Raw genomic sequence first — 13,980 nt, forward strand, 5'->3', positions numbered from 1 at the left:
GGCTCACTGCAACCTGCACTCCCTGGGTTCAAGCGATCCTCCTGCCTCAGCCTCCCGAGTAGCTGGGATTACAGGTGCGCACCTCCATGCCCAAGTAATTTTGTATTTTTAGTAGAGACGGGATTTCACCATGTTGGCCAGACTGGTCTTGAACTCCTGACCTCAGGTAATCTGCCCACCTCGGCCTCCCAAAGTGCTGGGATTACAGGCATGAGCCACCGTGCCCAGCTGGAATAGGTGCGTTTTAAGATCCTGTTCACCAGATCTTAAAATGTTTAGGTCGGCAAAATTTGCTTTTGAAGCCAACTATTTCCCTCTTCTACTCCTTTTTCTAATTCTGATATTCTACCCCCATGGCCTCCATTCCCCAAGACCTAAGGATTGCTTGTTCCATGAGTTACCCAAAGTCTCAAATGCAGTACTTCCCACCAACCTATCAGCTACCCCTCCCCTGCTTTTCTGTACCCAACTTTTAGTGTACAGATTCCAATCGGTTGTTAAAGAAAAAAAAAATGGCTCCCTTAACTAATTCTTACTATGACATAAACGACTAACACTTTATGTGTTCTCTTCTCAGGGATACACACCGTTTAAAGGAATTGCTCATTTGCTAGTTGTATGTTTGATATAATTACAAACATATAAAAATCAAGACTGGAAAGAAGTATGCAAACAATGACAGTTTTTAGGTTGGGAGAATTAATTTTTCTTTCTTTTGAGTTTCTTGGCCAGGAATGGTAGCTCATGGCTGTAATCCCAGCACTTTGGGAGGCCAAGGTGGGTGGATCACCTGAGGTTGGGAGTTTGAGACCAGCCTGACCAACATGGAGTAACCCCATCTCTACTAAAAATACAAAATTAGCTGGGTGTGGTGGCGCATGCCTGTAATCCCAGCTACTTGGGTGGCTGAGGCAGGAGAATTGCTTGAACCAGGGAGGCGGAGGTTGCAGTGAGGCGAGATTGGGCCATTGCCCTCCAGCCTGGGCAACAAAAGCAAAACTCTGTCTCAAAAAAAAAAAAAAAAAGAAGTTTCCTTAAATCAGGAGTGTCCAATCTTTTGGCTTCCCTGGGCTACATTAAAAGAAGAATTGTCTTGGGCCACACATCAAATACACTGACACTGACCAGGTGCGGTGGCTCACACCTATAATCCCAGCACTTTGGGAGGTCGAGGAAGGCAGATCATTTGAGGTCAGGAGTTTGAGGCCAGCCTGGCCAATATGGCAAAACCCTGTCTCTACTAAAAAGAAAATACAAAAATTTGCTGGGTGCTGTGGCATCTGCCTATAGTCCCAGCTACTGGGGAGGCTGAGGCATGAGAATTGCTTGAGCCTGGGAGGTGGAAATTGTAGGGAGCCAAGATTGCATCACTGCACTCCAGGCTGGGAGACAGTGAGACTGTCTCAAAAAAACAAAAGAAAACACTAATGATAGCTGATGAGCTAAAAAAAAAAAATCACAAAAAACCTCACAATGTTTTAAGAAAGTTTACGAATTTCTGTTAGGCTGCATTCAAAGTTGCCCTGGGCTGTGGGTTGGACAAACTTGCTTAAAGTATGTTTAATCTTATAGTGTGTTTAATTAAAAACAAAAGCACAACATTAATAATCATTTGGACTAGTGTATAAACTGTGGAAGAGGAAGGCCCTTTTCTGCCAGAGTTATGTGGCCTTTTCCCTTTATGTCTGACCTGTATTAAACTGTCTAAGGCAGCCTGGGCGACATAGTGAGAACTTGTCTCTACTAAAAATTTTTAAAAAATAATAATAAAATAAAATTAGCCAAGTGTGGTGGCCTGCGCCTGTAGTCATAGCTACTTGAGAGGCTAAGATAGGAGGATCACTTGAGCCTGGGAGGTCAAGGCTGCAGTGAGCCATGATTGCACCACTGCCCTCCAGCCTGGGAGACAGTATGAGATCCTGTTACAAAATAATAATAATAAACTGTCCTAGGGAGATAGCACACCAGGAATGACTCTTGGACCTGGCTTCCAGAGGATTTGTTCAAACCTGCTTTTATCCCTTCAGTGTTTCTTCCATCTCTCTTTCTTCACCCTACTTCACAGAAAGAGTGTTTCTTGCTCTTAGTAACCAATTGGCTGGGAGCAATGGCTCATGCCTGTAATCCTGGGACTTTGGGAGGCCAAGGTGGGAGGATCATTTCAGGCCAGGAGTTCAACACCAGCCTGGGTAACATAGTGAGATCCCATCTCTATATAAAACCATTTTTTTTTTTTGGCTGGACCAGGTGGCTCATGCCTGTAATCCCAGCACTTTGGGAGGCCAAGGTTGGCAGATCACTTGAGGTTAGGAGTTCAAGACAACCCTGGCCATCATGGAGAAACCCCGTCTCTACTAAAAATACAAAAGTTAGGCAGGCGGGTTGGTGGGTGCCTGTAATCCCAGCTACTTGGAAGGCTGAGGCAGGTGAATCGCTTGAACCTGGGAGCCGGAGTTTGCAGTGAGCAGAGATCGCACCATTGCACTCCAGCCTGGGCAATAAGAGTGAAACTCCATCTCAAAAAAAAAAAATTTTTTTTTCAAAAGCTCCAACTATAGAAAATTCAGGAGTCTTTTCAGACCACTGTCAGCTAGGTAACTCCTGATAAATGACAAGTTTCAAAGTTAGGCATGGAGAAGAGGGAGAAAATATTTCAACTGTAAGGCATGTAAGTTAAAGAGCTGTGACAGTCATCTGGCAGGTTAAAACACTCCAAAGAACAAGAATTGGATTAAGCTATAATTAGTGCATTTAGAGGTAGAAGGTTAAAGCCCAAAGTACAAGTGTATGGTCAGGGACTAGACTGGGAAAGGAAGAGATAAGATCATAGTGTTTCAGAAACAGATCAGAAAGCTGAGAAAAGGGAAAAAAAAATAGAAAAAAAAAGATTGCAGTGTGTTTGGCGGGGCACAATGGCTCCCATGGTGTAATCCCAGCACTTTGGGAGGCCAAGGAGGGTGGATCACTTGAGGCCAGGAGTTTAAGACCAGTGTGGCCAACATGTCAAAACCCCATCTCTACTAAAAATACAAAAATTGCTGGGCATGGTGGTTCACACCTGTAATCCCAAACACTAGGGAGGCTGAGGCAGGAGAATCGCTTGAACCTGGGAGGCAGAGGTTGTAGTGAGCCGAGTTCACACCACTGCACTCCAGCCTGGGTGACAGAGTGAGACTCTGTCTTTAAAAAAAAAAAGAAAAGAAAAAATAGTCCAGGCACGGTGGCTCACACCTGTAATCCCAGCACTTTGGGAGGCCAAGGCGGGTGAATCACCTGAGGTCAGGAGTTCGAGACCAGCCTGGCCAAGATGGCGAAACCCCGTCTCTACTACAAATACAAAAATAAAAAAATCCTCCCGGGCATGGTGGCACTTGCCTGTAATCCCAGCTACTGGGGGTGCTGAGGCAGGAGAATCGATTGAACCTGGGAGGCAGAGGGAGGATTGCTTGAACCTGGGAGGCAGAGGTTTCAGTGAGCCAAGATCGTGCCACTGCACTCCAGCCTAGGCGACAGAGCGAGACTCCATCTCAAAAACAACAACAATAAAAAAAAATAATAAAGATTGCAATGTCTGATATATTTGTTTTGTTGGTGTTTTTTTTGTTTTGTTTTGTTTGTTATGTTTTTGAGACAGAGTCTTGCTCTGTCACCCAGGCTGGAGTGCAGTGGCGTGATCTCAGCTCACTGCAACATCCACCTCCCAGGTTCAAGCGATCCTCCTGCCTTAGTCTCCTGAGTAGCTGGGATTACAGGTGTGCACCACCACGCCCAGCAATTTTTGTATTTTTATTTTTATTTTATTTATTTACTTATTATTTATTTATTTATTTATTTTTGAGATGGAGTCTTGCTCTATCACAAGGCTGGAGTGCAGTGGCATGATCTCAGCTCACTGCAACCTCTGCCTCCCAGGTTCAAGCGACTGCCCTGCCTCAGCCTCCCAAGCAGCTGGGATTACAGGCATGTGCCACCACACCCAGCTAATTTTTTGTACTTTAGTAGAGACGGGGTTTCACCATGTTGGCCAAGATGGTCTAGATCTCCTGACCTCGTGAACCGCCCGCCTCAACCTCCCAAAGTGCTGAGATTTCAGGCGTGAGCCAGCGCACCCGGCCTATTTTATTATTTTTATTATTTTTGAGACAGAGTTTTGCTCTGTTGCCCAGGCTGGAGTGCAATGGCTCTATCTTGGCTCACTGCAACTTCCACCTCCCGGGTTCAAGCGATTCCCTTGCTTCAGCCTCCCGAGTAGCTGGGACTACAGGCGCATGCCACCATGCCCAGCTAAATTTTGTATTTTTAGTAGAAATGGGGTTTCACTGTGTTGGCCAGGCTGGTCTCGAACTCCTGACCTCGTCATCCACCCGCCTTGGCCTCCCAAAGTGCTGGGATTACAGGTGTGAGCCACCGTGCCCAACCAATTTTTGTAGTTTTAGTAGAGAAAGGGTTTCACCATGTAGGTCAGGCTGGTCTCAAACTCCGGACCTCAGGTGATCCACCTGCCTTGGCCTCCCAAAGAGCTGGGATTACAGGCGCTAACCACGGTGCCCGGCCAGTGTGTGATATATTAGTGAGAAAAAGGCAAAGACATCTCTGGCTCACAGAAAGCCAAGTGTTCCCGCATATTTCCTAAATCCTTTAGCTTTAGGCAGAGCCATTTGACTAGTTTGGTCAATGGGCTGGAAGTGATAGGTGTCACCTCTAGGCCAAACCAACCATTTAATAGGTATTGTGTGATCCTCCAGCTTTCTTTACTCCGCGGTGATACACTTAGGCCTTGTACTGAGATGGCAGAGCTACATTTTGGAAAGGTTCTTAGAGTCGCTGCAGAGGTCAGGTAACTGAAGAGATGCTGGCCCTTGATTTTAGGTGAATGAGAAAGTTTGGTTCTGTTAAACCACTGAGACATGGGATGTCTCGTTGCAGCATAACCTCGTTGCGGCATAACCTGGCGTATCCTGATAAATACAAAAAGGCACTTCAACAATAGTATTGTAGCCGGGCTTGCAGTGGTTTACACTTGTAATCCCAACATTTTGGGAGGCTTAGGCGGGCGGATTGCTTGAGGCCATGAGTTCAAGACCAGCGTGGGCAACATGGTGTAACCCTGTCTCTACTAAAAATACAAAAAATTAGCCGGGCATGGTGGTGCATGCCTGTAATCCCAGCTACTCAGGAGGCTGATGTATGAGAAACGCTTGAACCTGGGAGGCGTAGAATGCAGTGAGCTGAGATTGCGGCACCGCACTCCAACCTGGGCAACACAGCGATATTTCATCTGAAAAAACAAAAACAAAAACAAAAATAGTATTCTAGAGATTATAGATTACATGATATTCAGCTCCAAACTAGACAGGCTGAAGGGACGAAGAAGACCTGGAGCCAGTCAAGAATCACCATTGGTAAAGACAAAATATATAGGGCCTCTGTCAAAGACTCCCAATAGGGTCTAGGGTCAAACCACATGAAAGCAAGAAGATTAATGCTAAATCACTACCCTGAATGTTGAGCCTCTTCATCTACATAATCCTTTCCCCCAGAGAGGTTTAGCCTAAAAGACTGTACCAGGGTCAAAGTAAGTGGAGAGACTGTTACAGGAAAAGAGCCTGTGGTTTTGCTAAAGGCTTTATTGTACCTAGTCTCAGAACATGGAAACAAGAAGAAGGTTATAGGAGAATATAAAAATAAGTGGAGAGATGGTCAAGGAGCTTAAGGAGAAAAGGTCGATGGTATTAGAATCATTGTTGATAAGAGCAGAAAATGAAAGGCTTTCAAAGCAAGGTAGTATAGTTCAATAGAAGGAAAAACATGACTGATATAATTTGGTTTGGATTGTGACCATTAAGGTTTCATCATACCAGGAAAGTCTATGATTTCTGAGGACATCATAGCCTATGGTACACAGTATGGTGGTTAAGAATGTGAGCTCTGAGCCGGGTGCGGTGGCTCAAGCCTGTAATCCCAGCACTTTGGGAGGCCAAGGCAGGCAGATCGCCTGAAGTTGGGAGTTCGAGACCAGCCTGACCAACATAGAGAAACCCCGTCTCTACTAAGAATACAAAATTTGCCGAGTGTGGTGGCGGGCGCCTGTAATCCCAGCTACTCGGGAGGCTGAGGCAGGAGATCACTTGAACCTGGGAGGCGGAGGTTGCAGAGAGCCGAGATCTCGCCATTGCACTCCAGCCTGGGCAACAAGAGTGAAACTCGGCCAAAAAAAAAAAAAAAAAAAAAAGAATGTGAACTCTGGGCTGGGCCTGGTGGCTCATGCCTGTATTCCCAACAGGTTGGGAGGCTGAGGCAGGAGGATTGCTTTAGCTCAGGAGTGTGGGACCAACATAGTGAGAACCCATCTCTACAAAAAACAAAACCAAACCATTAGCTGGGTATGGTGGCACACACCTGTGGTCCCAGGTACTTGAGTGGCTAAGGTGAGAGGATTCTTTGATCCCAGGAGCTCAAGGCTGCAGTGAACCAAAATTGCACCACTGCACTCCGGCCTGGGTGACAGATCAAGATCCTATCTAAAAAATAAAAAAAAGAATGTGACCTCTGGAGCAAGAGTAAGATGGGTTCATAACCAGGCTCTGCCACTTATTAGTTTTGTGGCCTTGGGCAGGTTATTTAACCTTCCGGTGCTCAGTTTTCCCATCTGTAAAACAGAAATAAGAATAGTGCCTGCCCCTCATGCCTGTAATCTCAGCACTTTGGGAGGCCGAGGCAGGCAGATCACAAGGTCAGGAGATCGAGAGCATCCTGGCTAACATGGTGAAACCCTGTCTCTACTAAAAATACAAAAAAATGAGCCGGGTGTGGTAGGAGGCGCCTATAGTCCCAGCTACTCAGGAGGCTGAGGCAGGAGAATGGTGTGAACCCGGGAGGCCACACCTTTCATTTTCTGCTCTTATCAACAATGATTCTAATACCATCGACCTTTCTCCTTAAGCTCCTTGACCATCTCTCCACTTATTTTTATATTCTCCTATAACCTTCTTCTTGTTTCCATGTTCTGAGATTAGGTACAATAAAGCCTTTAGCAAAACCACAGGCTCTTTGCCTGTAACAGTCTCTCCACTTACTTTGACCCTGGTACAGTCTTTTAGGCTAAACTGCCGGAAAGACAGTGAGCCGAGATCGCGCCAAAAAAAAAAAAAAAAAGAATAGTGCCTGCCTCATATGGTTGTAGAACCAGACTATGTGAGTAGTCCCTCATGACTACCTTCCCCAATCAGCAAATAATGCACATTTCCCTAAAAACTCTCTTCCTCCCTCCCTCAGGAATCAGGGCCTCAGAAGCATTGAGGAGGTAGTTTACCTATGCATATTCCAGAGCAAGAAGCAGACAGATGACCTATGTGTGGGTTTTGTAAAGCACAGGCAATTACCCTCACCAAATGATCCTGCTGTTTGATTTGTTGGTTGACTCTGGAGTCAAAGGTGGGAGGGCTCGTACTTCATTCTTGATTATAAGCAGTGAAGATTCCCTGGGGGCTCATTCTCAATTGGTGTTATGAATGTTCTCTCTTTGCCCTGCATCCCAAGATGTTTTTCTCTTCTCACACACAGGCATAATGCATTAGTTGTTCTGATTCCTTAAATCATTAATAACAGGGAGTCATGTCCTGAATCAATTCCATTCTTTGTACAGTATTAGAGCTAGCCGTCTTGTTGGTCTCAAGTTGCATTTAAAAACAATTATGTTGGCCGGGTGTAGTGGCTCACACTTGTAATTCTAGCACTTTGGCAGGCTGAGGCAGGAAGATCCCTTGAGTCCAGGAGTTCGAGACCAGCCTGGGCAACAGGGAGACCCTGTCTCTATGTAATAATAAAAAAAAACAAAAAACAATTATGTTATTTCCTTGTCTCTCCTTTATTTGCACCCCATCTCACTGAATGGTAGTGAGACCCAAGAATAAAGCCTTGTGCATCATGATGCAGCACACACATGGTTAAGGGCCTGGGTTCTGGCACTGTGCAGACTGGGCTGGGCATGGTGACTCATGCCTGTAATCCCAGCACTTTAGGAGGCTGAGGCAGGCGAATCATGAGGTCAGGAGTTCGAGACCAGCCTGGCCAACATGGTGAGACCCCGACTCTATTAAAAATACAAAAAATGGCTGGGCACAGTGGCTCACGCCTGTAATCCCAGCACTTTGGGAGGCCGAGGCAGGCGGATCACAAGGTCAGGAGATTGAGACCATCCTGGTTAACATGGTGAAACCCCGTCTCTACTAAAAATATAAAAAATTAGCCGGGCGTGGCGGCGGGCACCTGTAGTCCCAGCTACTCCGGAGGCTGAGGCAGGAGAATGGCGTCAACCCGGGAGGTGGAGCTTGCAGTGAGCTGAGATCACGCCACTGCACTCCAGCCTGGGTGACAGAGTGAGACTCCGTCTCAAAAAAAAAAAAAAAGAAAAAAAATACAAAAAATTAGCTGGGCATAGAGGTGAGCACCTGTGCTCCTAGCTACTCAGAAGGCTGAGGCAGGAGAATCGCTTGAACCCAGGAGGCAGAGGTTGCAGGGAGCCGAGGTCGCGCTACTACACTCCAGCCTGAGTGACAGAGTGAGACTCCCTCTCAAAACAAAACAAAACAAAACAAAACAAAAAAATTGGCTGGGCATGGTGGCTCACGCCTGTAATCCCAGCACTTTGGGAAGCCGAGGCGGACGGATCACTTGAGGTCAGGAGATGGATACCAGCCTGGTCAACATGGTGAAACCTTGTCTCTACTAAAAATACAAAAATTAGCCAGGCTTGGTGGTGTGCGCCTATAATCCCTGCTACTCGGGAGGCTGAGGCAGGAGAATTGCTTGAACCTGGGAGGCAGAGGTTGCAGTGAGCCAAAATCATGCCACTGGACTCTATCCTGGGTGACACAGAGGGACTGTCTCACAAAAAAAAAAAAAAAAAAAAAAAAAATCAGCCTGGCTTGGTAGTGTGTGTACCTGTAGTCCCAGCTACTAGAGAGACTGAGGTGGGAGGATCGTTTGAGTCTGGGAGGTCAGGGCTGTAGTGAGCCGAGATTGCGCCACTGCACTCCAACCTCAGCAACAGAGAGAGAGACACTGTGTGCGCAAAACACACACACACACACACACACACACACACACACACAACCCTGGTTCTACCTCTTTGAGCTCTCTGCACTTGAGCAAGTTACTCTGTCTCCATGAGTCTGCTTCCTCACATAAAAAAAATGAGGGTAATTGTTGTGTTTACTCACAGAGTAGTTGTGCAGTTTAAACAAATTAATTCAGGCAAGGTACTTTGTGCCTGGCACAGAGCAATCTTTCAATCACTGTTGGCTATTATCAATTTTTGTGTAACAAATGAATGGTAATTATCACCCCTTCTAAATACTTTTTAGACCTATAGATCACCTTTATGCAGAAAATTCCCACTTCTCTCCTCAAGGATAACATCTCTTCTGAACCCCAGATAAATGTCTTCCATTGATTACTGCACACTTTCTCTCTGTATCATCCTCCATCATTCACATTACATCAAACTCAGTCTTCTGACTGGCTCCTTTGGTCTTCCCTATTTCTCTTAATGCTATTTTTGTTTATAGCTTTTTAGAGGTAATTTTGTCACTCAAAACTATTTAAAAAAACCCTGAACAAACAGTTGACATTTATTATTTACTGTGTGCCAGACACCATGTTAAATCTTTATTGGATTACTTATATATAATTCTCACAACAATTTTTTGATGCAGGGGCTATTACTACCTCCATTTAGCAACTCTAGCAACTCTAGAAACTGATGCTTACAGATAGTTAAATGACTTGTCGAAGGTCATGTAACTATTCATAATAAGTGACTCAGCCAAGAGTTACACCCACATGTTTTGAAAACAGACCCATGCTCTTAAGCACTATCATGGTTATGCTGTAGTTTCTCTCTATTGCTTGTTTTTGTTTGTTTGTTCGTTTTGCTTTTTTGAGTCAGAGTCTTGCTCTGTTGCCCAGGCTGGAGTGCAGTGGTGTGATCTCGGCTCACTGCAACCTCTGTCTCCCAGGTTCAAGCAATTCTTGGCCTCAGCCTCATGAGTAGCTGGGATTACAGGTGCCCACCACCACGCCCAGCTATTTTTTGTATTTTTAGTAGAGACGGGGTTTCACCATGTTGGCCAGGCTGATCTCAAACTCCTGACCTCAAGTGATCTTCCCGCCTTGGCCTCCTAAGTGCTGGGATTACAGGTGTGAGCCACCATGACCAGCCCTAATTATTGATTATGTCAACAACTTCCTATTAGGTTTCTTTGCTTCCAGCCTCTCCCTGTCCAATTTATCCCCCAGACTGTAGCTAGATTCTCCATGGTCTAAAACATAGCCTCCCCATATACCACTGTAATCTTTTTTCTTTCTTTTTTCCATTAATTTTTTTTTTTGTATTTTTTGTAGACATGGGGTTTAACCATGTTGCCCAGGCTGGTCTGGAATTCCAGAGCTCAGGCAATCCGCCCTCCTTGGCCTCCCAAAGTGCTGGGGATTACAGGTATGAGTCACTGCCCCAGTATAATCTTAAATAAATGGGTCATTTCTTTTAGTCTGTTTCTCTGTAAAGTGAGCTAATTTTTGTATTTTTAGTAGAGATGGGGTTTCCCCATTTTGGTCAGACTGATCTTGAGCTCCTGACCTCGTGCTCTGCCTGCCTTGGCCTCCCAAAGTACTGGGATTACAGGCGTGAGCCACTGCGCCCAGCCTTCAATAGTTTTATTAAGTCCTAGAATGTTAAGATGTTTCTCATGTCACTGTCCTATTTCCAGACTTTAATGGCTTCCCATTAACCACAGTTCAGGGTCTATACTTCTTAGCATTCAAAGATTGTCACTCTGGTGGTTTTACCCCTTCCGAACCATAGGATTCTGATTCCCTGTGTGATCTCCTTATGAATACAGCCATGCCTTTTCCCCATCTCTTTAATTTTAATTTTTTTTTTTTGACATGGAGTCTTGTTCTGTCACCCAGGCTGGAGAGCAGTGGCGCGATCTTGGCTCACTGCAAGCTCCGTCTCCCGGGTTCATGCCGTTCTCCTGCCTCAGCCTCCTGAGTAGCTGGGACTACAGGCACCCGCCACGACGCCCGGCTACTTTTTGTATTTTTTTTAGTAGAGACGGGTTTCACCGTGTTAGCTAGGTTGGTCTCGATCTCCTGACCTTGTGATCCACCCACCTTGGCCTCTCAAAGTGCTGGGATTACAGGCGTGAACCACCTGGCCCGGCCCCATTTTAATATTTTTTTGGGACGGGTCTTGTTCTGTCACCCAGGCTGGAGTGCGATGGTGCGATCATGGCTCACTGCAGCCTCGAAATCCTGGGCTCAACTGATCCTCACGCTTCAGCCTCCTCTGAGCAGCTTGGCCTACAGGCATGTGCCACCATGCCCAGCTAATTAAAAACATTTTCTTTCTCTTTTTGGAGTGGCAGTATTGTTACCAGAAAGGGGTCCTGATCCAGATCCCAAGAGAGGGTTCTTTGGCCTCGTGCAAGAAATAATTTGAGGCAGGAAAAAAAAAATTCAAGGTGAATCCATAAAGTGGAAGCAAGTTTATTAAGAAAGTAAAGGACTAGGCCGGGTGCCATGCCTCATGCCTGTAATCCCAGCACTTTGGGAGGCTGAGGTGGGTGGATCACGAGGTCAGGACATCGAGACCATCCTGGCTAATATGGTGAAACCCCATCTCTACTAAAAACACAAAAATTAGCTGGGCGTGGTGGCGGGTGCCTGTAATGCCAGCTACTCGGGAGGCTGAGGCAGAGAACTGCTTGAACCTGGAAGGTAGAGGTTGCAGTGAGCCGAGATCCCGCCACTGCACTCCAGCCTGGCAACAAAGGGAGACTCCGTCTGAAAAAAAAAAAAAAAAAAAAAGTAAAGGAATAAAAGAATGTCTACTCTACAGGCAGAGGGGTTATTTCTTGATTATATGCTAAACAAGGGTGGATTGTTTGTGAGTTTTCTGGGAAAGGGATGGGCAATTTCCCCTCTCCCCCAGTTGAGTGCTCCTCCCCTTTGTAGACCATATAGGGTAACTTCTGGTTGTTTCCATGGCATCTGTAAACTGTCATGGTGCTGATGGGAGTGTCTTTTAGCATGTGAATCCATTATAGTTAGCATATAATGAGCAGTGAGGGTGACCAGAGGTCACTTTTGTTGCCATCTTGGTTTTGGTGGGATTTGACCGGCTTCTTTACCACTGTTTGATCACCAAGGTCTTTGTAATCTGTGTCTCATGTTGATCTTTTTTTTTTTTTTTGAGGCGGAGGTTTGTTCTGTTGCTCAGGCTGGAGTGCAGTGGTGCGATCTCAGCTCGCTGCAACCTCTACCTTCTGGGTTCAAACAATTCTGCCTCAGCCTCCCAAGTACCTGGGACTACAGGCGCGCGCCACCACGCCGGGCTAATTTTTGTATTTTTAGTAGAGACAGAGTTTCACCACGTTGGCCAGGCTGGTCTCGAACTCCTGATCTCAGGTAATCCACCCACCTCAGCCTCCCAAAGTGCTGGGATTACAGGCATGAGCCACCGTGCCCAGCCCTTGTGTCGATCTTCTATCTCATCCTGTGACTAAGAATGGCTAGCCTCCTGGGAATGCAGCCCAGTAGGTCTAAGCCTCTTTTTACCCAGCCCCTATTTAAGATGGAGTTGCTCTGGTTCGAAAGCCTCTGACAGTATCTTATTATACTGTGTAGGCTGGTCTTGAGCTCCTGGCTTCAAGAGATCCTCTTGCCTCAGCCTCCCAAAGTGGTGGGATTACAGGTGAGAGCCACCATACCTGGCCCTTTCCCTCATCTCTAATTCCTGGCAACCACTAAACTAGTCTATCCTCTATGTCTATACTTTTGTTATTAATATTTCACAAATGTTAAATGCAATAATACAATAGATAACTTTTTATGTTTGGCTTTTCTTCAGTCAGCATAATTCCCTTGAAATCTATCCAAGGGAATTATGTATATTGCATGTATTAATAGTTTGTTATTTTTTTCTATTGTTGAGTAGCATTCCACAGTATGGATGTAGCATAGTTTGTTTAACCATTCACATGATGAAAGACATTTGGGTTGTTTCCAGTTTTTGGTTATTACAAATAAAGCTGCAATGAACATTTGCGCACAGGTTTTTGTGTGAACAGAGCATAAGTTTTCATTCCTGTTGGATAAACGCCCAACAGTGCAATGGCTGGGTCATATGGTAAGCACATGTTTAGTTTTTTAAGAAACTATCGGCCGGGCGCGGTGGCTCACGCCTGTAATCCCAGCACTTTGGGAGGCCGAGACGGGCGGATCACGAGGTCAGGAGATCGAGACCATCCTGGCTAACACGGTGAAACCCCGTCTCTACTAAAAATACAAAAATTAGCCGGGCATGGTAGCGCGCCCCTGTAGTCCCAGCTACACGGGAGGCTGAGGCAGGAGAATGGCGTGAACCCGGGAGGCGGAGCTTGCAGTGAGTCGAGATCGCGCCACTGCACTCCAGCCTGGGCGACAGAGCGAAACTCCGTCTCAAAAAAAAAAAAAAAAAAAAAAAAAGAAACTATCAAACTTTTTCAGAGTGGCTGTACAATTTTATATTCCTACCAGTAATGTGGATCCAGTTTCTATACCTCCTTAATAGCGTTTGGTGTATCACTACTTTCATTTTAGCATTCTGATAGGCATGTAGTAATATCCGATTTTGGTTTTAGTTTGAATTTCCCTGGTGGCTAATGATGTTGAACATCTTTTCATGTGCTTTCTTGCCTCTGTATATCCTGTTCAATGAAATGTCTATTCATGTCTTTTGCCCATTTTCTAATTGGATTTTTTTAACCTGTTGAGCGTTCAGAGTTCTTCAAATATTCAAACCTTCAAATGAAGAGAAGGCCTTTATCTGATATGTGGTTTGGAAATATTTCCTTCCACTCTAGCTTGTTTTTTCGTCCTCTTCAAAAGGTCTTTCACAGGACAAAGGTTTTAAATTTCTTTTCTGCAGGGCACAGT

At 45.5% G+C, this 13,980-nt stretch overlaps 2 annotated features.

Moving 5' to 3' along the window:
* Positions 5,191-5,692: an enhancer, noted in NCBI's record as "NANOG hESC enhancer chr17:49219886-49220387 (GRCh37/hg19 assembly coordinates)". NCBI's record gives its function as "activates a minimal SCP1, AML or CMV promoter by ChIP-STARR-seq in naive H9 embryonic stem cells {active_cell/tissue: H9 hESC(naive)}" and the evidence as "EXISTENCE:reporter gene assay evidence [ECO:0000049][PMID:30033119]".
* Positions 7,721-8,221: an enhancer, noted in NCBI's record as "H3K4me1 hESC enhancer chr17:49222416-49222916 (GRCh37/hg19 assembly coordinates)". NCBI's record gives its function as "activates a minimal SCP1, AML or CMV promoter by ChIP-STARR-seq in naive H9 embryonic stem cells {active_cell/tissue: H9 hESC(naive)}" and the evidence as "EXISTENCE:reporter gene assay evidence [ECO:0000049][PMID:30033119]".

The sequence above is a fragment of the Homo sapiens genome, chromosome 17, assembly GCF_000001405.40.
Source record: "Homo sapiens chromosome 17, GRCh38.p14 Primary Assembly".
In the NCBI taxonomy this organism is placed as follows: Eukaryota; Metazoa; Chordata; class Mammalia; order Primates; family Hominidae; genus Homo; species Homo sapiens.